At 55.5% G+C, this 27,236-nt stretch overlaps 1 protein-coding gene across 50 annotated transcripts in view, besides 7 other annotated features; it reads left to right on the top strand.

The window, feature by feature from the left end:
• ABLIM2 (actin binding LIM protein family member 2) overlaps positions 1-27,236 on the top strand; it is a 193,487-nt gene that overhangs the window by 28,454 nt on the left and 137,797 nt on the right. For 36 of the 50 annotated variants that reach the window (XM_005248030.5, XM_005248027.5, XM_005248029.5 and 33 more), the window contains exons 1-2: positions 2,700-2,813; positions 23,723-23,866. In XM_005248030.5, coding sequence (XP_005248087.1) covers positions 2,789-2,813; positions 23,723-23,866 — 169 coding nt within the window. In that variant the 5' untranslated portion in view covers positions 2,700-2,788. Of the gene's footprint in view, positions 1-2,699; positions 2,814-23,722; positions 23,867-27,236 lie in introns of those variants that run through there. The other 14 variants (NM_001130086.2, NM_032432.5, NM_001130085.2 and 11 more) reach the window with 1 other exon arrangement.
• Positions 3,517-4,141: an enhancer, noted in NCBI's record as "H3K4me1 hESC enhancer chr4:8127946-8128570 (GRCh37/hg19 assembly coordinates)". NCBI's record gives its function as "activates a minimal SCP1, AML or CMV promoter by ChIP-STARR-seq in naive H9 embryonic stem cells {active_cell/tissue: H9 hESC(naive)}" and the evidence as "EXISTENCE:reporter gene assay evidence [ECO:0000049][PMID:30033119]".
• Positions 19,424-19,718: a silencer, noted in NCBI's record as "tiled region #605; K562 Repressive non-DNase unmatched - State 13:Ctcf". NCBI's record gives its function as "represses a minimal TATA promoter and a strong SV40 promoter by Sharpr-MPRA in K562 cells {active_cell/tissue: K562}" and the evidence as "EXISTENCE:reporter gene assay evidence [ECO:0000049][PMID:27701403]".
• Positions 20,899-21,634: an enhancer, noted in NCBI's record as "H3K27ac-H3K4me1 hESC enhancer chr4:8110453-8111188 (GRCh37/hg19 assembly coordinates)". NCBI's record gives its function as "activates a minimal SCP1, AML or CMV promoter by ChIP-STARR-seq in naive H9 embryonic stem cells {active_cell/tissue: H9 hESC(naive)}" and the evidence as "EXISTENCE:reporter gene assay evidence [ECO:0000049][PMID:30033119]".
• Positions 24,201-24,910: an enhancer, noted in NCBI's record as "H3K4me1 hESC enhancer chr4:8107177-8107886 (GRCh37/hg19 assembly coordinates)". NCBI's record gives its function as "activates a minimal SCP1, AML or CMV promoter by ChIP-STARR-seq in naive H9 embryonic stem cells {active_cell/tissue: H9 hESC(naive)}" and the evidence as "EXISTENCE:reporter gene assay evidence [ECO:0000049][PMID:30033119]".
• Positions 24,911-25,620: an enhancer, noted in NCBI's record as "H3K4me1 hESC enhancer chr4:8106467-8107176 (GRCh37/hg19 assembly coordinates)". NCBI's record gives its function as "activates a minimal SCP1, AML or CMV promoter by ChIP-STARR-seq in naive H9 embryonic stem cells {active_cell/tissue: H9 hESC(naive)}" and the evidence as "EXISTENCE:reporter gene assay evidence [ECO:0000049][PMID:30033119]".
• Positions 25,621-26,330: an enhancer, noted in NCBI's record as "H3K4me1 hESC enhancer chr4:8105757-8106466 (GRCh37/hg19 assembly coordinates)". NCBI's record gives its function as "activates a minimal SCP1, AML or CMV promoter by ChIP-STARR-seq in naive H9 embryonic stem cells {active_cell/tissue: H9 hESC(naive)}" and the evidence as "EXISTENCE:reporter gene assay evidence [ECO:0000049][PMID:30033119]".
• Positions 26,331-27,042: an enhancer, noted in NCBI's record as "H3K4me1 hESC enhancer chr4:8105045-8105756 (GRCh37/hg19 assembly coordinates)". NCBI's record gives its function as "activates a minimal SCP1, AML or CMV promoter by ChIP-STARR-seq in naive H9 embryonic stem cells {active_cell/tissue: H9 hESC(naive)}" and the evidence as "EXISTENCE:reporter gene assay evidence [ECO:0000049][PMID:30033119]".

The raw sequence follows: 27,236 nt of genomic DNA, 5'->3' as shown, positions 1-27,236 counted from the left end.
TCTCCTGAACATTACAGAGAATCCCCTTAAGATGATGGCCTCAAAGCAACGTGATGTTTCCCAGCATGGGCCATCCCGGAACTGGTGACAGATGCGGCCGGGCCTCAGCCATCCAGCACCACCCTGGCCACCCTGCGTCTCCATCCCTGGCCCTGTGAGCCATCAGTACCTGCTGGCTGAGTTCCTTCAAGACTTGAGTGTTCCCCTTCCAGGCTGAGACCACCAGGGCCTTTCTTGGGGGCTGCCTTTGAATAAACTAGATGCTTAGGGGTGAACAGCAGGCTGGAGGCCAGGGGAATCTGAGGCTCCTTCTCCGTGGGAACCCCAGGCAGTGCTGAGTGCTGGGAGCCCGCAGGGCACCAGCTGTGCTGACTAGCAGAAGCCTGGCTCCAGCAGCCTCCCTGGCCCACGTCCTGGGCTGGTGCAGTTGGCTCCCCAGTGTCTCTGAGCATGGAAGAGGTCTCCTCTCAGGATTAGGTACAGAACTCTCCAGACTGCCCCTGCACTCCCATCCGTACAATGGCGGGGAGGGGGTGGCCGGTGATCATTATGGCCTCTTCTAGCCCTGACACTTCTCAACGCCAGCCCTCCCAGGGCCCCAGAGCCACAGAGAGAGAGAGAGAGAGGGAGCATACCTGTCTCTGCTCCCAGCCCCACTGGCTGCTGCTGAAAGGTGTGTCCGCAGGGGACTCATCTGTGCATATACTTGTCTTGCAAACACAGTCATGATGACAGCACAGTGTGGTGGGCTTTGGGATGGGGTGTCAAGTTTTCAGGTTCTGTGCCCCGGATTTCTCCCTGAATCTTAGAAACACCATCTTTAAACACCTGTCTTACAGCGTGTCTTAGTCTTATTGCATGAAACAATATGGTAGCTACTGGCCACATGTGTTTATTTAAATTAAAATGAATTAAAATCAAATAAAAGCTAAAACTCTGTTTCGCATGGTGCTGGCCGTGTTTCGGGCGCGCAGGGGCCGCGCAAGCTGGAGGCAGCTGAGCTGGGTGTGCAGGTGGGATGCATCCTACGATGGGGTGCTGGCCTCTGATTCACTTGTGCAGGGGATTTGAGTGAGTCACAGAGGGGGCGGGGCATACGTATTTCTGCTTTTTATTCCTTTTCCCTTAAAGATGGCATTGAGAGTGTTTCCTCTGATGTCAAATTATAAATGTCAAAAGCTTGGGGAAATGTTAAAAGGAAACATTTCCTGCCCCTAGTGCCTAGACAAGCCCACCATGTGTGGTCTTCCAGGGCCTCTGCCCCCAGCCTCAGGTTCCTGGATGGGCACAACCTATGGGGGTGCTGGCAGCCCAGTTGGGGGAAAGCTGGGGGCAGCCAGGTAGGATGTGTGGTCTCGGTGCAGCTCAACGAAGCCTCATAGACTGGTGGCTTCTGAATAATAGACATTTATTTTTCTCAGTTCTGGAGGCTGGAAGTCCAAGATCAGAGTGCCAGCATGGTCGGGCTCTGGGTGGGCCCTCTTCTGAGCTGCAGACAGCCGCCTTTTCCTCGCACCCTCATGTGGTAGAAAGAGCGAGGCAGCCTCTGGCCTCTTCTTACAAGGGCACTCATCCCATGATGAGGGCTCCACCTGCAAGACCTAATTCCTCCCAAAGGTCCCGCCTCCAAATCCTGTCACACTGGGGTTTAGGATATCAGCATGTGAGTCTGGGGAGGGGACACCACATTCAATCCACGGCAGTGGCCTTGGGCTAGACAATGACTTCATCGCTTTCCTGCCTTAGAGCCAGGGCAAGGAGACCTGCTGTGCAAGGTCACTGGAGGTTTAGTGCATTCGTGTTTTAGAGCCTGGGAGTACATCTGGTAACCAGCAGGTCCCCTGGTTGAATTAAAATTAAATAAAATCTAAAACTCTGTTCTGCGTGGTGCTAGCCATGTTTCGGTATGCAGGGGCCTTGCGAGCTGCAGGCAGCTGTACTGGGTGTGCAGGTGCAACGCATCCTATGACGGGGTGCTGGACTCTGATTCGCTAGATAGAGACACGTCTTCTTGTGGCCCCACCCACCTGGAAGCTCTGAATGTGACCTTGTTTGGGTGTTTCCGTATGTAATTATGGTAAAGATGGAGATGAGGTCATTGTGGATGAGGGCGGACCCCAAATGCAGTGACTGGTGTCCTCATAAGAGACTAAAAAGGACACGCAGAGACACACAGGGAAGACGGCCTGTGAAGGTGGGGGCAGAAACAGGAGCCCTGAAGCCACATACCAAAGGGCGCCTGGAGCCACCAGCAGCGGGAAGAGGCAGCCTGAGCTCCCTATACCCCTGTGAAGAGCAGGGTCCTGCTGGCACCTTCATGTCAGACTTCTGGCCCCCAGAACTGCGAGAGAATCCGTATCTGTTGTTTGAAGCCCCCATTTCAGGGAACCCTGGTGCAGGCTGTCACTCCCAGCACGCGGGGCTGTGGGGGTTGTGAGCTCACTATTGCTGCCCCTACACATGGAGGAAGGGTCAGCAGATGCTCCCCACCCCCACCACTCCTCCCCCACCCCGAGTGCCTTTTCAGAGCCCCTTTCCCGGATGCCTGGGAGACAGGTGTGTCTCTGGCGCATAGTGTGGCGGGAGTCTATTTCAGTGTGCCGGGAAGGGCTTGGCTCTGCCCCTCCCCGGGCAGAGGGTGGCAGCTGCCACGTGACCTTGTGGGAGCCCTGTGGGCCACAGAGGCTCTTCCCCGGTCCACTCCTGCCCGATCCTCCGTGGGTGCCAGGCCCAGCCACGCAGAGGGAGAGCCGCCGACCCGCTGGCCCTTTGCAAGCAGCCACGCTCCATGGGGGTGCCAGGGGGAGACACAGGTAAATCCCCAAACTGCGCTTTTGCCCAGACCATCCGGCTGGGAGCCGTGAGCTCCATGAGTCAGCTTCAGGGGACTGGGAGCTGTGAGCTCCATGAATCAGCTTCAGGGGTCTGGTGGGAAAGGACGGGTCCAGTCAAGTTGTGCCCTGCGTGAAGGTCATGAGCGCCGGCACCACGAGCGCCAGTGGGTGCAGGCTTCGGGGACACTCTCTATGGACAGCACTGTGGGGTGAGGAGGGTGACCCCATTGTACAGGTCAGCTAAGGCTGGGGACGGGAAGAGTCTGATCCAACCTCACACGGTGCTGGTATCGGAGCTGCGTCTGGACTCCAGCACCCACTGACCACAGCGTCTGGGCCTCCCTCCCTCCCTTTTCTTTTTTCCTTTAAGGTGGTGATTCTCACCCACAGGCAGCTGTGCTCCTGTGCTCCCAGGGGGACATGTGGCAATGTCTGCAGGCATTTTTTTTTTTTTTTTCTGGAGGCAGGGACTCACTCTGTCACCCAGGCTGGAGTGCAGTGGCATGAACATGGCTTACTGCAGCCTCAACCTCCTGAGCTCAAGTAATCCTCACAGCTCAGCCTCCCGGGTAGCTGAAACTAAGGTGCACGCCACCAGACCTGGCTAATTTTTAATTTTTTTAGTAGAGACGGGGTCTCACTTTGTTGCCCAGGTGGGTCTTGAACTCCCGGGTGTAAGCAGTTCTCCCATCTCAGCCTCTCAAAGTGCTGGGATTACAGGTGTGAGCCACACGCCCGGCCATCTGGAGACATTTTTGATGGTCACAGCTCAGGAGGGTGTGCCTCTGGCATCTGGCAGGAAGGGGTCAGGCCACGGCTGAGCGTCCTGTGGTGCACAGGACACCACGCAGTAGCACCTGCCTGGCCCGGTGTCCTGCTCGGGGGACAGCATGAATGCCGCAGTTCCCTGATATTAACATAAAAGACAGGGCCCATCAAGCTCCTTAGATACGAACAACCAGCAATTCCAATAGCTCCAATCCTGCGTGTTGACCAGGCGGCCTGTGGGGTGAAGGTGATGGCAAAATCTGGGGGGCTAGGGAGAGAGGAGAAAAGGGAGGCAGGGGGAGTGAGATGAGGGGAGAGGGAAGGGAGGGGAGGGAGAACAGTGGGGAGGCAGCCCAGACCCCTGGAAGCAGAGCAGGGGGTACACAGGGGAGGGGGCCTGACACAGTGCCAGGGCCTCCAGCGGCTCCCTCCTCCCCCTGAAATGTTCCCCACTCTGTGTGGGCACGAGGCCTGGTGCCCAGCAGGGCCTCATCTCTGGGCAGCCAGACCAGAGTCTTCCCTCCCTGGTGCCCTCCTTCTGGCCTGTGGGTTCTGCCCTGCACAGAGGAACTGGGACTCTTGTCCATAGCCCCCCCTCAGCGCCTCACACTCTGAAACTCCGTGGAATGTTACTGAAGGGAGCAGCCCTGGCTCAGGCAGTGACAGTGGCCCTGGAGTCCAACCCATGAAGCTTCGAGCCCTGATTCTGCCTGACCTCACCGTGGGGCTTGGAGGAGACACTGCCCTGCCCATGAGGCCCCCAGAAAAAGCGGGTTGGCTGTGTGGCTTCCCCCTCCCAGGGTGTTGTGAACCAAAAAAGGAGACATGCAGGTGTGTTCCCAAAAGCGGCGGGTCCCCCAAGGCTGCCCACGCACAGCCGAGTGTGAGTTCGCCCTCCTGCCCAGGAGGACGAGCTGGCATGGCTGGGGTGCTGGAGCATTCTGAGGACAGCCGTGGATGCCCAGAGCAGACAGCAGGTGACGATGTCCGTGTCCCAGATGGAGTTTCCATGGCAGAGGCTGGGCGGGCCTCTCCAGCTCAGCTGAGTCTGCGATGCCTTCTCAGGCCCACTGTGCTTCCACCAACTGTGGACAACTGTGCTGGACGGACCGTCACACTGATGGCAGAGCCAACCACGACCATCCCAGAAGCAGCCCCGGCACCGAGGCCCCATGCAAACCTGTGGCCATCAGCACTGCAGATCGACTGTGGTAGATGGACCAGACCGTCAACGCTGATGGCAGAGCCATCCCAGAAGCAGTCTGGCACCAAGGCCCCAGGCAAACCTGCGGCCATCAGCACTGCAGATCGCGATTCACATGCGAAGCAAGGGTATCCACAATTAAAACTAGCAGTCACATAGATGCAATTCTATTTGTGTAAAATTATTCATGTAAAATTACAGTAAAACCAAAAAACCCGTAAATCTCTTAGAAGAACACTCAGAAGCGCATCTTCATGACGGTGGATCAGGCGATGGTTTCTTAGAAAAGACACCAAAGCCCAAGCCGTCATAACAAGATATAGACGACTGGATTTCATCAAAAACCTCTGTGATGCCAAAGACATCGTGAGGAAAGTGAAAACACAACTCACAAAATAGGAGAAAATATTTGCAAATTAGCAAGCTGACACGGGACTTGTATCTCGAATATACGAATAACTCTCATCCCTCAATCCTATCAAGACAACCAAGCTGAAAAATGGGCAAAGCATCTGCATCGACATTTTTACAAAGAAGACTCCCAGAGGGAGAATCTACACATGAACCATGCCCAGCATCATTCGCCCACAGGGAACGGCACATCAGAATCCCAGTGAGACGCGATTACAGATCCGCTAGAATGGCTGGATCAAAATCGCAGGCACACCCAGAGCAGGCTGTGGGGATGCGTAGAAATCAGAACCCGGTGTGGAAAATAGTCTGACTGTTCCTTGAAAGGTGGCACACAGAGTGACCACAGGACCCAGCAACTCCACTCCTGGGTATCTACCCAAAAAGCATGCAAACCTATGTCCACACGAATATTCACACTCGAATGTTCATAGCCGTGTTATTCACAATCACCAAAAAGTAGACACAGCCCCAAAGTTCATCCACTGACTAATGGATGAGCCAAATAGGGTCTGTCTGTACAACGGAATATTTCTCAGCCATCAAAAGGAAAGAGGCACTGACGCCCACCACACCACGGACACTCCCTGAAAACATGACGCCGAGTGAAAGAAGCCAGTCGCGAAGGACCACGCAGTGTGGGATTCCGTTCGCATGAAATGCCCAGAGCAGGCAAATCCACAGAGACAGACCAGTTGTTACCAGGGGCTGCGGAGGGAAAACGGGAGTGACAGTAAAGGATGCAGCATTTCTTTTTGGGGTGATGGAAATTTTCTAAAATGGATTATGGTGATCAGCACGCAGCTCTGTGAAATACCAAAAGCCATTGAGTGTGCATTCCAAACAGGCAAATTGTACGGCTATGTGAATTATATCTCAATGAAGTTATGATTTTCAGATGTGTGCACCGAGCACTTCTGCAGAGCTGGCTAGGCTCTGTGGAGGTGCTGAGAATATTGTTTCTGAAAGCACATCGAGGTGCTGCCTTATGAGAAGATAGATGAATTATTCTAGGTTGTGATGTCATATCATATGTCCCAGGTGTGTGAGAGTGTGTGGTTTTTGTTTGTGGCCTACAGAAGCACATGGTAGAGCAGCCGCTGAGCTGTTAAGAGTGGTCGTCTCAGTAAAAGGGAAGCAGGGGATTTTAAATTTTCCTTCATCTTTGATGTACTGTTTGGGTTTCTAGCCATGAGTAGCATTCCTTAGGTCATCAAAATGAAGTTATTTTTGTCATTGAACCCAAAGGAACCGTGTCTCCAGAGGTTAGCAAGGATCCCAGGCAGGGCTCCCACCCCGTGCCACCTCCTGCCCCTCCTCTTGGCCTGTCCGGGTGGAGCCAGGACCTTGTCACCCCAGTTGGGCTGTGTGACCCAATGCCGGCACACCCCTGCCTGCCCATGTGTAGACCCACAGGCTTTGGTGTGTGAGCCGGACCCTGTCAGTACAAGGATGACGCCCCCAGGAGACCCGCTTTAAGGCAGGGGCTGGCTGCCTCTGTCATGCAGGTGGTTAGTGAATGTCACAGAGCCTCTGCAGCCAGTTTCCCCTGCCTGGCCTGGCTTTCCCTGGGCTCCAGGCCAGCCATCCCGACGACCAGTTTTAATTAGACATGCCGGAAATGCTTCCCTCACACCAGCCTCCCTTGAATCAGCAGATCAGGAGAACATGAGAAGGGTCAGGAATTTGAGGGGGAGACGGGAGGGCAGACAGGCAGAAAACCAGTTCCCTGACATAGAGGCCCAGGCTCCAGGCCCCACCCTGCCAGTTGAAGGCTGTGTGATCTAGACAGGTTACTGAGCATCTCTGAGATGGGGTTCCCTTGCCTGCAGCCTGAGGGTGACAACGCCTCTCATGCCAGTTGGAGATGGGGCTGGTGCTGTTGTGCCCACACCATGCCTGCACAGGGGAGGGCCAGGCAGGGATTAGAGACCCCAAGTAAGGGGCACCAGCTGCCAGGGAAGAATGCTCTGAGGACCGCAATTAGGATTAAGGAGTCCAGACCCGGGCAAAGAGGTCTTCCTCCAGCAGTGCTGGGACACAGTGCTGGGCTTTGAGGGCATTAACCACGCACAGGGGACTGCTTCATGCCAGGAAGAGCAGCAGCAGATAGGAAGGAGGCTTGCAGAGTGGGAACGCCAGGGGAGGCAGGCACGACCTCCGGGAAGACGTCCCACACTGGTCAGGTCCCAGACAGATTTGCCACCCCTAGGGCTGGTTCGCCCCTCACCCCTCTCCCTCTCCCATCCCCTCATCCACGCGGTGGGGCATGGTGGAAAAGGCCAGGGTCAGAGAGGCCTGGGTCCCAGTGGCCTGGGGAGGTGCATTCCTGCTTGGAACCTCTGTTTGCCCATCCGTAAATGGTGAAGAGAGGACAGGTCCCAGCTGTGCAGGATGAAAAGAACTAAAGTGGCAAGTGGACTAAAGTGGCAAGTACCATGTAGGGTCTGACAGTGGATGGTGTTAAGAAGTGAATGTTCATGTTCCCCTAGCATTCACACTTGGAAGCCCAAACCCCCAGGGTGACGCTATTTGGAGGAGGGGCCTTGGGGAGGTGATGGGGTTTAGATGAGGTCGTGAGGGTGGGGTCCTCATGATGGGACTCCTGCCCAGAGCGCGCTCTCTGCCTTGTGAGGACACAGTAAGAAGGCGGCTGTCTGCAAGCCAGGAAGGGAGCCCTCACCAGGGACCGAGCATGCTGCTGCCCTAATATCAGACTCTTAGGCTCCAGAACTGTGGGAGATAAGTGTCAGTCTTTTAAGCCACCACATCTGGTATTGTTCTGGCAGCCCACATGGACCAGGACAGAGGGTGTCCCCTGGGAAATGGAGGATGGGAGCCGAGGACAAAGTGGGGGACCTCTCCAGCTCTCTGTGGCCATCCTTACCAGGCCATTCGGATATGATGGAGATGCACAGGGGGCAGCGAGACTCCCCATCCAGGCTGGTGTGGTGTCTCCAGGTCAAGGCTGTGGCCCCATCTTCAAAGGCCTGGGGAGGAGTGGGTTGCAGCTGAGGTGTGGCCAGTATATGCTTGGGGGCATATTGTCAGGTCCCCTAGCCTGCCAGGTCCCTGCACTGGGGACATGTACCACAGCAGCTGCCTGGAGAGAGAGTGGGGTCCCTGGTGGGACTAGCTCAGCCCCTCAGCTCCTCCCAGAGAGGGAGTTGAGAGCTGGCTTGAGGTCTGGGCAGGTCTGGGTCCGGTGCCCAACTGTGTGGTTTTGCCATTTGCAGCTCTGTGACCTGGGTTGTGGGTGGAGGTGCTGAGTGCAGTCCCTGGTGTTTGCCTGGACACAGGAACTGAAAGATGATGTGACATGGGTTATTCATCATCACCCCCCCATCCACTGGACAGTGCCCTGCAGTCACTCAGCGCATTTCCTGTTTCCTATTAGATTTGAGAAATATTCACTGGGCATCTGCTGTACGCTGAAGGCCTAGAGGAGGTCACCTGTTGGACCAGCGTGGCCACTCTGGCTCAAGGCAATGAGACCCTGGGGGACAAGCCCTGGGCTGGGAGCCTGCAGACCCGAGCCTTGGTGTTGGCCTGGCCACAGACTTGCTGCGTGACCTGGGCTGGGCCGCCCTGTCTGCCTCTGTGTGGGGGGTGGCAGGGGAGTCAGTGTACATGCTCTGAGCCCTGACCCTCCGGGACACCTCCCATGAGCTCCTCAGATGCTCCTCGCTCTGGAACGGCTGCACTCTTCTGGTGATGGAATAACACCCTCCAGGAATGTGGGTGCCGGGGGCGCCTGGGCCAGCGACTGGAGGCCTGGAGAGTCCTGGAAGCAGCAGGAGCTGGGCTGGCGTCTGCCCGGAGCCCACAGCCAGCCTGAGCGGGGGTGGCTGCCCAGTACCGTCTCTCCCAGCTCTGCCCCTGGAAGGAAGCCCCCACCTGACACTCACACAAACTCCTGCCAGCCCCGTGTGGTCACCGTCACATCACCGTTCTCCAAAAGCCCAGCCTTGGGTAGGATCAGTGTCCCACTTTGCAGATGGAAAACAGGCTCGGGGAAGTGACCAGGGAGCCAGCCAGTCCCCAGCTGGGCTCTGAGGCCAGCTCTGGCTCTTCCCACCTGCAGGGATGGCGTGTGGACAGGCCCCCACTTACCATGATTGGACTATCGTTTTTTGATTTTATAATGTTGCAAAAACAATATGCATTCAGTAGAAACCATACTTTGAATTTTGAATTTCGATCTTTCTCTGAGCTAGCAATCTGCGGTACAGTACTCTTACGTGAGACGGTCAACATTGTATTATAAAACAGGCTTTGCGTTAGATGTGTGTGCCCAGCTGTAGGCTGGCGTAGGTGTTCTGAGCATGTTTCCGGTAGGCTGGGCTGAGCTGTGATGGTCGCTAGGTTAGGTGAAGTCAGTGAAGTCTCAACTTAGTGATGTCACGAGCTTGCCCCGGGTTCATCAGGACGGACCTGCACTGTAAGCTGAGAAGTGCTCCTGCTGGTTTCCCATGCTCCCACGACAGAGCACACAGATGGGGGCTGGACTGGCAGATGTGCATCCTCCCACAGTTCTGGAGGCCAGAAGTCCCAGATCAAGGTGCGGGCAGGGCTGGCTCCTTCTGAGGCTGCAAGGAAGGACCCGTCCCAGGGCCCCTCTCCTGGCATCTAAGTCGCCATCTTCTCCCGCGTCTTCATGTTGGGTTCCCTCTGGTTTCCCATGCTGCCACGACAAAACACACAGACGGGGGATTGTCTGGGGTTGTCTCTGTGTCCACATTTCCCCTTTTTCTGACACCAGTCAGACTGGATGAGGACCCACCCTCCAGATCACCTTGCTTTACCATAACGACACCTTTGAAGGCCCCGTCTCCGAACACAGTCACTTGCCGAGGTCCGGGGGTTAGGACTTCAACGTGGGCATCTGGGGGTCCCGGTTCAGCCCACAGAGATGGCTCGAGCTCCCCGCTGGCACCGCTCTTGCTTCCTGCCACGTCCTCTTCTGGGAGGAAGGGGCAGCGTGGCCGCTGGGCTGTTTTTCTCTTCCTGCCTCCCAGAGGAGAGGCTCCTCTCAGGCTCTGGGGGCCGCCAGGGACCCTGCCGCCCGACGTCTGTGCCTGTCGCTCTGTGAACAGAGCCTATTTGTGGCCAAGAGTGACTTTGTCCTCATGGACCCCTGCCTCAAAATAGGGAAATCACAGGGATTTCATGCCGGAAGGAGCTGTAGGACACCTCCACCCGCAGGACTTGAGCACGCACCCCAGATCTGAGCGGAGGCGAAGGGTCTGCTCTTCCCACTGGGCTGGGAACCCCTCCCCTGACCCCTTAGGCTCACTCAGGGCTAGTGGAGTTTCAGCCTCGCAAAAGCCCCAACTTCACAAAGGGTCCAAGCAACCAAGCCCTCGAGCCAGGGCCCAAGAGGAAATTGTTTGTTTGATTGTTTGTTTGTTTTTTAAAAGACAGTGTCACTGTTATTTGCAGCACTGTGCAAAGTATCAAGAAAATGGAATCATTTTCTTTGGTGATTTTAAGATTGTTTAGTAAGAAGGAAGCCCAGTCTGGGCACGGTGGCTCACGCCTATAATCCCAGCACTTTGGGAGACCCAGGTGGGCGGATCATGAGGTCAGGCGTTCAAGACCAGCCTGACCAACATGGTGAAACCCCATCTCTACTAGAAATACAAAAATTATCCCGGTGTGGTGGCACGCACCTATAATCCCAGCTACTCAGGAGGCTAAGGGAGGCAAATCACTTGAACCCATGAAGCGGAGGTTGCACTGAGCCAAGATCATGCCACTGCACTCCAGCCTGGGCAACAGAGCGAGACTCTGTCTCAAAAAAAAAAAAAAAAAAAAAGAAGGAAGCCCGAGACCTGTGCCACAAGACTACACGCCCTCTCCAGCCTCCTTTGGGCTTCTAGATCCTTCCATACCCAGCATCCCCAACTCACCTCACCTCAGAAGTGAGATTGGGGCTCTCTTCAGCCCCACACCCCACCCTGAGACACGTTTGAGACCAGTGATCGTGCCAGGACAAAAGTGTCCTGGGACAGCCTGAGGCTTGCTGGGCCACTTGTTCCCCAGGCCCAGCACAGGTCTCTAGAGGATCCCTGGCACCATGGGACTGTAGACAAAGCCAGAGGCTTGTCCTGTTTCAGAGAGGTGCCCTGACTTGCTCAAGGTCACCCCATCAGTGGGCCCAGGTGGACAACAGACAGATCCCCTCACCTGGTGAGCTTTTGCGTCTGTAAAATAAGGACAATTTTCTTAAAGTTAGGGTGCAAAGAAGGGCGCTTAGGTCCTGAAGCCTCCAGTGCAGAGCTCAGCACAAGAGTGAATCATTGTCTGTGAATACGCTGTCGGTACAGAGGGGGCATTTGACGTGGGCCTGGAAGGACAAGTAGGGTCTTCCCAGGTGAGATGGGCACACAGTGCTCCCCGGAGCAGGAATGGTGGGAGCCCAGGCTGGTGCCAGGACTATCGAGGACAACTTTGGGAAAGAGTGTGGGATCAGAGGGCAGTGAGGAAGTCAGGCAACCAGGTGGGTACCAGGCTTAGAGTGCTGGTTTAGGGGCTGGGCTGTGTTCTGTGGGGAGCCATGGAAGGTTCTTGAATGGGGGAGGGACCTAAGCAGAGGGGTGCAGCTTGTGCTGGAGGCCACCCTCCCAGATCTTGCCACCTTGCCAACTTGGAGAGCTTGTCTTGGAGACTCCATCATGCTGACGGCCCCCTCGCAGTGAGGCCGACTCAGATTAGAAACTGGGCTGGAGGGAAAAGGGACCTACCCCAAGTTTTCCAGCAAGACAGAGGCCTCCCTACAACCCTGTGGGATTGGAGGACGAGTCTCATGGGGCCAGCTCCTGCCTGAGCTCTCAAGGGCCTCTAGACATGAGTGTGGAGTGCTCTTCTGGAACTGTCCTCTGGCGTCTCCCCAGATGGCAGTCAGTGTGCAAGGATCCCTAAGCCCTGGCGTGTGTTGAGCTCATGCTGTGTGCTGGGCTCAGGGTCCAGCCTCGGCCTCTGAGTCTCACCACACCACCAAAAGCTCAGTACAGCCGCAGCCTTCCTGCGCAGATGGCAGGGAGAGGCTCCAGAGGTGGTGACTTTCCTGGGAGAATGTGGCCTGGAGCTAGCAGGGCTGGCCTGGATCATAACACAGGCCTCTGAAAATCACCAGGGCTCCTCTTCCTGGGGCTGTGTTTGGCTGTGATGTCCTGCATGAAGCCCAGAGAATGTGGGGCTTGATTCCCTTGAACTGTCCTGAGCTTTACAGTTGATCACTGGGGTGGGGACAACCCATCATCTCTTCCCACAGTGAGCAGCTGGGCCAACAGGACGCTGCGTGGGGGGATAGGAGAGAGGCCCACATGGGAATTGGCCAGGACACCCTGCTTGAATTTAGAGTAAGCGGAGCTGGCTTCTGGAAACATGCCCAGGAGATAATAAAGTCATCCCAGTACGGTTAGGTCTTCTCGGTCGAGCCTAGGAGAATGATGATCACAGGGTATGGGAGAAGAAGCAGTCTTTGGGGCCAGAGGAAAAGTGGGTGGATCCCAGGCAAGGCTGAGAGGAAGGAAGGCTGCAGTGGTGGCACTGCAGTGGGTGGAGTCTGCTGGGGGTGGAGCCTCTGGTGGGTGGAGTCTTAGTAGAGCCTGTGGTGGGTGGAGTCTGCAGCGGGTGGAGTCTGCAGTGGGTGGAGTCTTAGTGCGTGGAGCCTGTGGTAGGTGGAGTCTGCAGTGGGTGGAGTCTGGTGAGTGGAGCCTGAAGCAGGAGAATCTGCTGTGGGTGGAGTCTGTGGTGGGTGGAGTCTGTAGGTGTGACTTGCAGTGGGCAGGGGCAGTGGGCTGCAAATCGGTTAGTCGCAGCTTTCTTTGGAAATGGGTAGCTGAAGAAAGGCAGACTTGGGCTTGAATCCTTGCTCTGCCACTCCTCACGGTGTGGCTTTGGGCTGGTCACTAAACCTCAATAAGCTTCCAACTCTGCCAAATGGGCAAAAGAATATCTACCTCCAAGAGTGGCTGTGAAGATTCCAGGCAAGGTCACGCCAGGATTTGAAGGGCATTTCCCTTCTTGGATCAAAACGGCAAGTGCCTCCTCTTGGGACTTTGGCTGTGGAGAAAGTGACTTTACTGTCTCTAGAGAGGTCTGGAGCCAGGCTGTGCAGAGATGGTGAGGAGACCAGGCGTCGCCACTGAGTCCCCTCTCCTACTGTCTATACCAGGGAGTTTTTGTATGAGCAGAGATAAAATGCATAAGGCTTATTTGTAAACTATAAACTGCTATCCTCATCAAACCTAACTTTTTGCTTGGTGGGCAAGTTCCAGAAATTAGATCAGGAACAGTTTGGGACCTAGTATTTTTTTTGGAGCTGTTTCTCCAGAGCAGGGAAGCTGCTGTGATCTGTGTTATGAGCCACCTAACCTTCCAGAGAGTGAAGACCCCTTTCTCAATGAACTCACATCCTCGTGCTATATCCAATCCTTATTTTGCTTAAGAACTATTCAGTAACAAAGGCAACTGAGGATTTTGTAACACTTTCTAGCAGCCTTCATTTTTTAAAAATCCCTTGAGCATCTACCTGCAACTGGAAACCATAGTCCCCGGATGTGCAACATAGATGGAGCCATTTGTCTGCAGACAATCATGGTGTGCAAATGCATTTACAGACCCCTTGCAAAATCCCCAGGGTCCCCAAGTGGAAACCCACGGATTTAGAGAACCCGTTCCTGGGCATCTTGTGTAAGCCCATGTGTGCGATAGCAGAAGTGGGATCGGAGAGTGAGGAGGAGGTGGCCAGCCTTGGGTTTGGAGGGGGAGCTTCTCAGCAGGGTGGGATGGGGTTCCTGCCCTTGGGGGGCATGCACAGAGAGAGCTGCATAGAAACGATGTGAGCAAAAGCTTTGCAAAGAGGTCTTTTGATGTCTGGGGCCATCACTGTGGTGGCATTCTGGTTTTCAATGGCTGCCTAACAAACCACCCCAAGCCTCAGTGGCATAAGACAAACATCCTGTTACATTCACGGGTTGGGAGGGGCTGCCATTCAGAAAGGGCACAGTGGGTATGCCTTGTCTCCTCTCCACAATGTCTGTGGTTTCACTGGGCCGACCCAAAGGCTGAGAGTGACTCAAGAGCTGGGAGCCAGAATCCTCCACAGGCGTCTTTGCTGAAACTTCTTGCTGGCCATCCGTGGGGACTTCTGTGGTCCTTCTGCCAGAATAGCGGCATGTGGGCTCCATGCGTGGTCACAGCGTGGAGTGGTTTGAGCTTCGTCCCAGCATGGCCGCCGGGTTCCCAGAATGAGCATCCTAAGAAAGCAAGGCAGAAGCTGGGGGTACTTGATGACCCAGCTTGGAAGCTGCCTGGTGTCTTTTCTGTCATATCCTTTTGGTCAAAGCAGTTGCAGAGGTCCACCCAGGTTCAAGGTGAGGGGCTTTAGACCCCATCAGGTAATAGGAGAAGGGTCGACATAGTGTTGTAGGAGAGCATGTAAGAACGGTTGTTGTGATCGTCACCTTTGAAGATGCAGCATGCCACAGGGCTTTGCTCAGACAGCCCGTGGGGAGCTCAGAGGGATAAGCTCAGAGGCTTCCAGAAGGACACCATGGGAGGTGCTGAGATGGCTGGATGCTACTGTCACATGCTGAGGGGAAGGTGGTTGCGGGTCAGAGTGAGATGCATAGGTTCATCCTGTTCCCCAAGCACATCTTAGGGTTCAGGCACTGGCAGGGGGCTGGGCCTCCAGGTGAGCCCAGCAGGCATGGAGCCCACTGGCCCTACAGAGGAGATGGATGTCAAAGGATGTGTTCTGTGCAGCAGGCAGGCGCGAAAGGAGGAGTGGCTCATGGGCTCAAGTGATTCCCCTCATGAGCTGGTTCGCTGGACAGAAAGAGGAGTTTGGCTGCTGATGTCCGGGCCAGCCCTGAGCAGGGCACTGAGGGCCAGGGTGGATGACATCCCAGGAGGTCGTAGTTTGGGGTGACAGTGATGCTGAGAGGGGCATGTGGAGGTCAGGAGCCTGAGGTATTTTCCCATAATCAGTTTCATCTGCACACATCTGCACACAAGCCCTGCGTCCATCCTCAGGACCCCAAAGCAGAGCCAAGCTGTTTGCGGTCCTCAGGGACCCGTGGTCTGGCCATGGGCAGGTCAAGGACTCAGATGGGAGAAGCCAGACTGCACTCCTGGGGAACTGGAAGAGGGCCAGGTCGTCTCCTGGTGGGCGTTCCAGGGCGCCCCGCAGGTGTCTCATGTCACCACTGAAATAAAGCTGGGTGGGCCCCGGGAGGAGTGTCCCTGGGCCTGGGGTCCCACAGCACTGGCACCATGAGCTTCCTGTGTGCTCTTGTGCCCAGAACTGTCTGGTGACTGTTTGGGGACGGGGCGGTGGCTGCCCAACATCGGCCCGGTGCTGGCCTAGCTCTTGGCAAGGAGAGAGTGCCCAGTGCATCTTTGCTTAATGGGGGATTGAACAGAGGGCCGCCCTGTCTGGACCTGCAGAGCTCCCTTGCCAAGCCCAGGCAGTGATGGCCGTGGTGAGAATGGGGCCGGCTCCAGAGAGCAGCGTCCTCGGTTCATGGTTATAATCAGCAGCCAGCCCTTAAGTAGGTTAGGAAGGAAGTGCCCGCCTGTGATCCGGCATGATTTTCTAACAAGTAACACTTGGGCGGGGCAGTAGGGAGGCCTGGACCTGCTCTTAAACCGAGGCATGACCTATAAAGTGAGAACCTGAGGGAGGGGACACACTGTAAGGCACGGGCGGGGGTTTGTAAGTCCCCGAAAAGACAGTGTGGCAGGATCCATGAGGATGCAAAGTGTGCGTGCCTGTACGCTTTAATTCCATATTCATAAAATTAGCCCAAAGAAAGCCCTGTGCCCCAGGGCAGAGCTGGCACAGGGTGTGTGTGGCCCCATGGTGTGTGAGAGCCATGCCTGTCTCCCGGCAAGGACTGGCTGAGCACACATCAGCACAGGGCCAGCATCAGCTCTGGTCTCCTCAGCACCTGGCCCTAGGGAGACAAATCCCTCGGGCACAGCCCCCGCCCATGAGGGCTTCCAGGCCAGGGGAGGCAGGCAGGCCAGTGGACAGCAGCCACCCATGTGTCAGGGCTGTGCCGCAATGAAGGTGAGCTGAGCACTGTGATGTGTGCTTGCTCCTGTCCCAGAAGGTGCCTGTCCATCCTCTGAGCTTCTAGTTTATGTCACCTCCTCCCAGAAGCCCTCCCTGATTGTACACAGGTTCATCTCCCTGCTGTGCCTGCACACAGCCCTGTGCCCCTCTCTGTATTGCTCTGCTCGTTGCCATGGTCAGAAGGAAAGGTGTGAAAGGGAAGCTGGAACTGTGTGTCCTGTGACCCGCTCTGGGTGAGCCGGGACCTCTGGAGTTCATGTGTGCGTGTGTAGGCTTAGAAAACTGAATATTATTAGAACATCCTTAGGACATTTGGAAACCCCAAGCCAGCCGTTTGGATGATACAAACAGCAGACGGGGAGCTTTCTGAAATCATCTTGGCGGATGGAGCGGGCCTCCGATGAGAACCCCTGCCATGGGTGGACCCCAAGTTTTCCCCTGTGTGAGTACACAAGGGGGTCCCCTGCCCATTCTCAAGGTGGATTTACCTCCAGAGCAAATGAGGAAAGCAAGAGAACAAGGCGAGCACAGCTGCTGGTCTTTGGCCAAACCAGGAATACATGCTCAGAGGTCCAAAGTTCACTGGGCCCTTAGAGAAGGGTGGAACTAAATATAGATCCGTGGGCACAGATCGGAAATAAACAGTCAAGCAAATCCCCAGCCAGGCACGGTGGCTCATGCCTGTAATCCCAGCACTTTGGGAGGCTGACATGGGAGGATCACTTGAGCCCAGGAGTGTGAGACCAGCCTGAGCAAGATAGCGACATCCCGTGTCTACAAAAAATACAAAAATTAGCTGGGTGTGGTGGCACACACTTGTGGTCCCAGCTACTCGGGAGGCTGAGGTGGGAGGATGGCTTGATCCCGGGAGGTTGAGGCTGCAGTGAGCTGAGACTGCGCCACTGCACTCCAGCCTGGTTGACAGAGCGAGACCCTGCCTCAGGAGAAGAAAAAAGATTCCCAGAGATCACGGAATGATGAGGACTCTGCTGTCTGGGTCGTGAGAGCTGGTTCGCTGGACAGAAAGAGGAGTTTGCCCCCCTGCCTATGCCCTTTTGGCCTGGCATGTCCCTCTTCCTGTGCCTGTCACGCTGGTGTGGTGCTGAATGGCACACCTCTCTCCCCAGTACCTGACAGTGCGTCTGCTCCCGTGTCTGTTGAACAAGTGAACACATGGTTTGCAGCCCAGCAGGTGATGGAAGGGGTGGGAGGAGGAGCCTCGGACACACCTGAGCTGGGCCTCAGTCTCTTAGCCGTGTGACCATCTCCTAGCCTTGGCATCCTCATCCGTGAGATGAGGATGACTGACCATTCCTGTGGGGCATGGTATGGAACAAACAAGAGAATGTCGAGGGCTGGGACCGTGGCTGTTGTGTTCACTGTGGTGTCCCTGGGGCCTACACTGTATTTACTGTCTTGCCTTTTCCTGAAAATGCTTGTGGACTCCCGCTCTGGACTGGGAAACCTCGAGTAGACCTCAGAGTCATCGTTTTTCCTCTTTCTGATAGCCACCCCTGATCTGACCCCTCCATCCTGCGGCCTGCAAGTCTGGTCTCTGAGCCTTGGAGAGGATTCAGCTAACAGCTACTGTTCACGGCCACCTGTCAGACCTTGCACGTGGAGCTTTCTCTACTTCAATGGACATTTAAAACATCCTCCTAAGATCAAGCCCTGATTTACAGATGTGAAAACTGAGGCTTTGCAGAGTTAAATCCATTCACCAAGGTCACACCGCTGCCCCTGGATGGTGGGTCCAAACCGGACCCTGCTGGCTCCCATTCTGGCTGGCTGGTGGCAGACCAGGAGTTCAGCCTGGAGGGGGAGGCAGGGGGATTTCCTGAGAGAGCCACGTCCCTTTGTTGTGAAGGTTGTGTGTTAACGACACCAGCAATCATTTTTGTTATTCCCGGTGGGGCTTCCCAAGGCTGGGGTTTCATTATCATGAGGGATTAAATACTCTCAGCCCCTGTGTGATAGATTCTTAGCACTTGAGTTTATGTTCTATGTTATTATCACAGTTAGAGACTTGTTAAGCCAAATTATTGGAGCCAATCTTGAAACTGCAGTGAAATGAACCTGCCGCAATTGTGGTTAGTTCCTTTTTAAATTTTTTTTTTTTTTTTTTTTGAGACAGAGTCTTATTCTGTCACCCAGGCTGGAGTGCTGTGGCACAATCTTGGCTCACTGCGACCTCTGCCTCCCGGGTTTCAAGTGATTCTCCTGCCTCAGCCTCTCGAGTAGCTGGGATTACAGGTGTGTACCACCACACCCGGCTAATTTTTGTATTTTTAGTAGAAACAGGGTTTTGCCATGTTGGCCATGCTGATCTCAAACTCCTGACCTCAGTAACCCACCCACCTCAGCTTCCCAAAGTGCTGGGATTACAGGCGTGAGCCATAGCGCCTGGCCTAGAATTTTTAAATTTTTTGATAGATTTTATTTCTCAGAGCATCTCTTGGTTTCTAGATAAGACACAGAGAGTTCCGATGTGCTCCCATCCCGTCTTCCCTATGATTAACACCTTGCACTGGTGAGGTGCATTTGTTGTAACTGTACCAACGTTGATGTATTCTTAAGCGAAGTTCATACTTTACAGTGGGGGCCACTCTTAGTGTTATAGGTTCTATGGGTTTGGACAAATGTACAGTGTCGTGGATCCACCATTACAGTATTGCCCAGAGCAGCGTCACTGCTAAAAACGCCCTGTGCTCCGTTGATCCCAGCCCTGGCAACCATCAATCCTCTTACTGTCTCCTTCATTTTGCCTTTTCCAGCATGTCACATAATTGGAATCCTGCAGGGCATAGCCTTTCCAGGCTTCTTCCAGCTAGCAGTATTCATTGAGGGTCCCTCCATGCCTTCTCATGGTGTGATGGCATGCTTCTTTTTGTTGGTGAATAATATTTCATCGTCTGGATACACCCCAGCTCGTTTATCCATTCACCTGCTGAAGGACCACTTGAAACTTCTCTTTTTAATGTAAAACACGTGGCTGACTTTGGGCCAGGTTTAGGGGAACAGAGAATGCCACTTGGCCCCTGCTTTTGCATGGTTTGGCTGTTGCCCCCCTAGCCGTCCTCACAATTTGGCAGCTGCAGCCAGGTGAGGAATGAACCCTCTTGGGAGGCAAGCGCATACCCACTTACCTACCTGTGTTCCCAGGGCCTGGCAGGAAGGGCCAGCTGGAGGGAAGCCTGTAGGAGCGGCACCTGCATGGAGGCAGCGGCGTCCCCACGGCGCAATGTCTATCTCCCATCGCGAGAGGGCAGCGCCTCCGCCATGACCCTGCAGCCCCCGGACGCCTCGGAGGCGGCCCCAGCAGGCGAGATTGGGGCCTCCAAGCAAATCCATGCTCTTAGCAGCTTCCCTCAACCCTCACCCCCACACCCCACCCCCGCCACCCCCGACCAAGTATATTTCCAGTCACCTGGAAACAGTGATGTCAGGCCAGTGTTCTTGAAAATAACCATGACAATTGTGTATTGAGCACTTGTTGTTTGCTGGGTTGGTTGCTATGGGAACATTATTGCTCATGGTCCTGGCATCCTTGGGGCCAGGTAACACAAGAAGAAGATGGATGCCTGGGTGGAGAGACAGACAGACACACAGACAGAAGACCAGGAGTTTCAGGGCCTCACCTGAGGTCACAGCATGCAGAAGGCCAGCTAAGCCTGCATCCCAGGCCAGCTGACCCCACCACCCGCGCTGTCCCCCGGGAATCTGAAGCTGACACTTCCCTCAGGCTGGATTTGGGCCAGATTCCAGCAGCGTGAACCTCTCCCTTGTCGGATCATGAAGAGACGCTTGTGCATTTTTCTCTTTGTTGCCAATAGATGAGAACATAAGCGTCTTGAAGATGCACGGCCCCCACCCCTGTGAGCTCTGACTGAGCCTCAGATGTGGACTGGGTGCATCACCCGTGTGGCAGCCTACAGGGGCCCCCATGGCCTGGGCCATGCGTGGCCGAGAGAGGCACCATTTGAAGTTCAGTCCACAATTCTAATCCTCGTTCTGCACTGGGAGGCTTCGATTCCAGCCCAGAAAGCCTTCACCTGCTGTACCCTCCCCACCATCTTTATTAAATAACGGATGAGGTGGTTTCTACAATGACTCCGCAGGCAAAAGGCGCGTGGGACAAGCCTGCTGTGGATTCAACCAGAGTGAGAAAGGCCACGGTGGCCTCCAGCGGCTGCAGACTGAGCCCACAGGGACCCTCACTGGGCTGTGCCCCGTCCAGTTTGCAAAACCGGAGGCAGGCCCAGGGTGATGCTGAGTTATTTTTCATGCCATTCATCTCCTTTCCCATGCCTGCTTCCCAGGCCAACCCCTCTCCCTCATCCCCAGACAGCTGATACCCACCGCCCTTGGTCTGTTTGGAACCCCTGGCCTGGAAAGACCTGCGGCCCCAGCATGACCCAGGTTCCTCCTTTGCGCTGTCCTGTCACAGTTCCATCCGTGGGCAGGGACCCTAGGCGAGGATGGGTGGCCAGATCGGTGGCTTCCGGGATGTGGGGTTCTGGGAACGCTTAGGGGCAGGTTGGAACTGGATGGGGAAATGGCCTCCTCTGTCTGAGATGCAGTCACTCGATTTTTACCAGGGAGATGAGGAGACCTTCCAGGCTCAGAGCTCAATCAGCGCTGGCATTTAGCAATTGGGTAAATAGATGTGAGTGAGTACGTCTGTGCGTGAATACGCTTAGCCCTCAAATGAAGGGGGGCAGGTGTTTTCTGGGCCTGTGCCACATCCCTCGGCCCACCTGTGGTTTCGACTGCAACCAGGTGGGCCATGCCCCATCACCTGCAGGCTGCCCAGCCCTGGCATCTGCAGCACCCCTGGCTCTGTGCCTCAGAAACTCACTCAGCCTATACGCCAGGCAGACCAGAAGAGGGGGCTGGGAGTTCCGCCTTGGAGCAGCTCTTGCACTCAGGGGACAGGCGGTGGGGGGCCAGTGCCGCGGCCTCCCTTCCTTCCACGGGATGAGCTGGGACATGCTACGCGGGGTTTCCTGGACGGCCCCAGTGAGTTCCCTCTCCCACATGGGGAGCAGCTCAACAACACACCTGCCACCAGCTTTCATCTTTCCCACTCCTCGCTCTGGCCTGGTGCCTGGGGTCCCCGAAATAGACCATCGCACCCACAGCCTGGTCTCAAGGCCGGCTTCATGGGAACCCAGACCAAGACAGGGGGAGCTGGCGTTAGACTGCTGTGGAAATAAAGGAAGACGTGAGGACAAGTGGAGGCAACTTTCTCAGAGCCGCTGTGGCAAGGGAGTTGCCCACACAGGCAGGCAAGTGGTTGGGAAGCCTCTGAGGGGAAAGGATGGCTCCTGGTGAGCCCCCATGGAGGCTGTCGGCCTCGGGGGACTGGAGGCGGCTCCCAGAAGGGGGGCGTCCCGTGTGATTGGTTAGGGATGTATTTGGCTTTCTCCAAATGATCCTAACTGGAAAGCGGGGGCACGAATTAGGACGGCTATCAGTTGTGAGTCAAGTCCTGGCCATGTGGGACCGAGTTATTGTTTAACCTCCTGGTTGTCGAGGGAGAGTAGTCGCCTCCCCGCGAGTCTGCCATGCAGCTGGCTTCCCGGCTGGGTACCGTGGCCGGACTTGACTCCTGGGCCGGCAGCTGCAGGTGTTGTCTGAGCTCTGCCTTTCTCTGGGCCCGGCCATTGTCTGTGTGTTCAGTCTGTCAATGAGATCATTCGGGGTGAACTTGGCATGAGCAGAAGGCATGGGGCGCAGCCCTAGCCGAGTGAAAGCCCGCCCTGGGCTGCCGCACTGCGGTGGTCCTTGCTGTTGGTGGCTCTCACTCCCAAACAAGGAGTGGCTGGCAGAATGCAGAGGGGAGGGGCTTGGTGCCTCTGCCCCTGCGTCCCCCACCTATCTGACAGGTTGACCACTGCATTACCTTCCCTGGCTTCTGTAACAAGTGACCACAAACTGAATACAACACAAGTTTATTAGCTTCCAGTTCCAGAGGTCACGGTGCCCACCAGGTCTTGCTGGGCTAAAATCAAGGTGTGAGAAGGGCTGGTTTCTTCTGAGGACTCTGGAGGAGAATCCTTTCCTTGCCTTTTCTAGTTCCCAAGGCTCCCACATTCCTTGGCTTGTGGCCCCTTCCTCTGCCTTCAAAGCCAGCAATGTGTCATCTCCCTGACCTTCTTCCACAGTCACGCCTCCCTCTGGCCACAGCCGCATAATGATCTGATTTTAAGGCCCCCGTGATGATGTTGGGCTCAGCTAGACGATCACATCATATCCCATCGAAGCCCTTAACTTAGTCACAACTGCAAGCCCCTCTGGCCATGTCAGAAAGCATATGCACAGGTTCCGGGGATTAGAAAGGGGACATCTTGGGAGCATTGTTCTGCCGACTGCAGCACTAGCTACAGAACCTCCTGCCCACCGCCTGTGCCTGCCCTGGGGTCTGAGCCTTCAGTCCCCACGCTGATTCACTCTCACAGGCCAGCACTTGCCTCCACTTGTCCGGGCAGCTGGGTCCTGCCCGGGTCCTGTGTGGCTGGCTCTGTGCCTGCCAGAGCTCCACATCCAGATCCTGCACCTCCATCTACCAACTCCTCCTCAAGCTTCAAAGCGATGCCAGCTCGGCCACCTGGTGGTCACTGTTGCTCACCTGGCCATCCCTAATGCCCACTGGGAGCCCCTCAAAGGGCAGACCTGAGGCTTCTGGGCCGTGGCCCTCTGTCCTGGGCGCTGGTCTCTGCAGATGCTTTGGGAAGATGGGGATGAGGAGTGTGTCCCCCTGCCCGGTCCCCGGGAGCCCCACAGTCAGGCCCTGTGACCATCCATCCTGACCTGTCCATCCATCCACTCCTTAAATGTCCTGTACTGTGGTGGCTTTAAGGGAGATTTAAGGGGACCGCAGCAATATTCAGCTCCATGTCCCAGGACCCAGAGGAAATTTGAAGTGAGCTCCCCTGAGGACCGTGGCTGCTGTACTGGCAGAAGAGAGGATGTTGGTCCCTGCTGCTGAGGGTTACTGAGCTCACAGAGGGGTGCCTTGTCCCTGAGACCCCTGAGGGTAAGGTCGTGCCAGGTTAAGGCAGCAGTGGTTGGGCCATCTTCCAGGTGGGGAGGTGATGGCCTCATTGCCGCAGTTGTGCATGTGGATGAGAAGCACGGGCCCCTCCCTGCATGGGGCTACTGTAGACAGGAGCCCACACTGGGGCTTGACCAGATGACCTTCTCCCTCTGGCCCCTAACCCCTGCATAATCTGACTCCTGTGGGTCCCCAGGCAAAAGGAGACAACAGACCGACCCCGATGCCCCGTGCGGCTCGTGCTGGTGGGTGCGGGGCCCGCTGGCAGGGTCAGCTGTGCGTCCTCACACGCCTGCTTTGCTCACCTTTGTGCCTCACACATCCACCCTTGAACGCTGCTCTTCTCTCTTTCCCAACAGTGTCGCAGCCCCAGGCTGCTCCCAGCCCGCTGGAGAAGTCGCCCAGCACGGCGATCCTGTGCAACACGTGTGGGAATGTGTGCAAGGGCGAGGTGCTGCGGGTGCAGGACAAGTACTTCCACATCAAGTGCTTCGTCTGTAAAGGTGAGTGTCCCCCGGTCCCCTGCAGTGTGGCCCCTGAAACGGGCCTCCCAGCGGCGATCCTGGGCCCGCAAAGCCTCCTGGGAAGCTCTGCCTGGGCCTGGGATACTGGAGAACACTCCAGATACAGAATCTTCAGAGGAGAGTGGGATCTTTTCAACATAGCCTTGTCACTTGTGGATGTGATGGAGAAATCACCAGATTGGGGAGGGTCAGGGGATGAGGGTCCAGGTCCCTAGGGGTGTCCTCGTGTGGCTGCACCCAGCCTCAGAGAATTCTGGTCCTGCGGCCAGAGGAAGGTGGCCACCTGAGCACTGTAGCCACACAGGTAAATAAACGGTCATGGTCAGCCGCATGAACTCAGTAGTGGGGGACACGCGGGACCTTTGCTGGATCCCAGGCACGCGGGGACCCCCACCCGAAGTAGCACTGCGAACACTACCATTACTCCAGACTAAAATCACTTCAATTTCTCTATGACTATAAACCAATAATGTAAATAATCTACTAAATTCCAATCATCCTGAAAAGTTGAGAAAAAAGGAAAACAAAAAAAAAATCACGTGAGGCCCCACCAACCGGGCCCGGCCAACGGAGATGGCCTGTGCCGAGTCTCCCTCCAGCCTGTTCCTCCTTCCTATACAAAGATAACGCATGTGCCCTTGCTAATTTTCTAAAAATAGATTAAAAATAGCACTGGAGGAAGGGATGTGCAAATCAAACCAATTTGATGGATGTCGACCCGAGGAGTTTGCAGTTTTAAAGGAATCACATTAAGGACACTGCAAATCCCTGCTGCGGTGTGCGGCCCCGTGCCTGCCTGCCTTCTGCGGGTTCGGTATGACGGCCCCCTGGGCCATTTGGAGATTCACACTCGCTTAACCATAACGACCCTCGATGAACCCTAGTGCGCTGACGGTTTGCTTTTTTCTGGGCAAACAAAACTAGGAAATGTGCCACAAGCCGATAATTGAGCATGATGATTTTCATCAGGCGTTGCACGGCCCCCATCCAATGGCTGCGGGCTGCATTCATCCGCTCCACAAAGGCTCTAGGAGGCCCTGCTGTGCGCCAGGCTCTTGAATGTTCTAAAGACCAGGAAGGCGCAAGCTTTAGCATGGACACATTCGCTGTCTGCTGAGGGAGATAATGTTAGGTAAGGTGTGCAACACGATTTGAAAAGGTGGCTTTTTATAGTAAAAACCAAGTATATGTGTGTAGGGGGGGATGCCCACAGGGAAGGATTTCGAAGACTCCAGAAAGGACTTCGCAGAGGAGGTGGCGTGCTGGCTAGAACCTCGGGAGTAGAAATCTGCCTGGCAGAAGCAAGGCTGCTCCAGACAGAAGGGAATCCTCCCGACGCCAGCAGCCCAGGGAGACATGTGACTGTGTTTCAGAAAGAGGGACACTGAGGTCTGGAAGCGCGAGGAGCTTGCCCAGGGTTTGCATTCCAGGCGTGTCTGCAGCCCTGGGCCAGGGTCTTCCCTCCTGGGTTTCTGTGGAGGCGCCTTGAGGGTCTCCTGGGTGTGAGTGGGAGCAGGAGGGGAGCAGGTGCTGTCTCCAGTGCTGCCCATCGGAGTGCAGACATTGTCCACTAGTCCGGTTCATGTCTGCAGGCGCAGTCTAAAGACTGTGTGTAGAGTCCTGTTGCTTGAAAAGGAAGCTTGAAAACCAATGGTCTAGAGTCTTCTGCTGCTAAAAGGGGACCATCTGAGAACCGACCCTGGTGCCGCTGGCCCTGGAGGAGGTCAGAGGCCACAGCGCGGCACTTGGAGCCCTGCAGGGGGTCGGTGACTTAGGGAAGACGCTGAGCTCAGCCAGCTCTCCACTGGCCCTGGGACCCCAAGGGGGCTGCACCATTTCTGGCAGGAGTGGGAGTGCCCTGAATCCCTTGGGCTAAGGCAGACCCCAGCCCCGACCTTCAGAGATGCTGAGACTCTGTCCAAGGACGTGGGTGACTATCAGGGACATCACCGGGGGCACTTGATGCCCCAAGAATCACCTGGATCCAGGGATTCCCTGTACATCCACAGCCTGGCTCAGCCCTCAGTGAATTCTCCCCATAGCACCCTGGCATCCCAGGTACCCCAATACCACTGCCCTGACAAAGGCAGCGTGAAGCCCAGTCCTCATGGGGGGACCCAGGGACACCCCCAGGATGGCAGTTCTGGGGGCTACTTTGGAAGAACAACGAAGTGAACAGCACGCTCTCCGGCACACGCGGGGAAGGATTTGTTTTCTGGGAGTGAGTGCACGAGCTGTGGGTGTGAGTGTGGCCGGCCTCCATCCTCCCACATTTCCAAAAACAAGCAGGTGGTCCACCTGCCTTCCTGAGCCTCGGGATCCCCCGCCCAGGCTGCAAAGCAAAGGGGGCGTGTCAGCGCCAGGGAGCGATTGCCTGGGAGAAGGGGTGGCCTCCACCCTGGCCTTTCTCTCCCTGCAGCTAGTGGATTTCATGCTTTTCATTAGGGCTTTCCAGGGCATCGTGGGATTTAGCTGGTGCAATTTTTTCAGCTCTCCCTGAAGATACATTTGCCACATTTCTGGAAAGCAAAATCCATTAGATGCCTCTTTTTAAAAGCCTATTTTAAAAGACAAAGGGGAAGCTTGCACTTTATTTGAAAGGATTTCCATAAGCACAGACCTTGGGCATGCAGCAAAATGCATCAGACCCGAGTCAAGCTCATCACCTCCTGTGACCCAGCGGACTCATAGCTGGCGGAAACTGCCCCGGGTCCCCCTCCTCTGTCACCTGGGCAGGCCATTTCAGCCTCCTTCAGTGGATGTGGGAATAACCATAACCTCTTCCTCGCCAGCGACAGGCGATGGGATGAGACAGTGTCAATGGCAGGCTGACCCAGGGCTGGGGACTCACACTCCATCACCCAAGATGATTAGTGACCATGGACTCCAGCAGTAGCAGGGGTCTGAGGGCAGGCCCAGTGCCAAGATCCACCACATACCCACCCACAGCCAGTTAGAGTCTCACTCTGTGCCAGGCACCTGTGCCAGGCCTGTTGGCCCTGCAGATGTGGCAGCCAGGGCAGTGACCACCCCTTCTCCTGGGAAAGCTCTGCCTTCAGTGGGTGGCCTCTGTGCTGGAGAATGGCATGGAGTAACTACGATTTCCTGCAAGCTTTCAAATGAGCTGCACTTGTTTAAGCATGAGGACCTTGCAGTCTTGCATTAATCTTCTCTCCAGGCTCTCATGAGAGTGCAGCGTATGAATCATTGAGGGTGCTTTGGGATGAATAAAAAGAAGACCCAACTCATAAATATCCAACATGGATATTTGTCATCTTAACACGAAGTCTGGAGGTAGCCCCACACCCCTACCCCAGGGCTGGCTAATTAAACAACTCACCAGGGTCAT

Source organism: Homo sapiens, chromosome 4 (assembly GCF_000001405.40).
Source record: "Homo sapiens chromosome 4, GRCh38.p14 Primary Assembly".
Classification (NCBI taxonomy): Eukaryota; Metazoa; Chordata; class Mammalia; order Primates; family Hominidae; genus Homo; species Homo sapiens.
The sequence above is the reverse complement of the archived record's forward strand: the minus strand, read 5'-3'. Positions and strand labels throughout refer to the sequence as shown.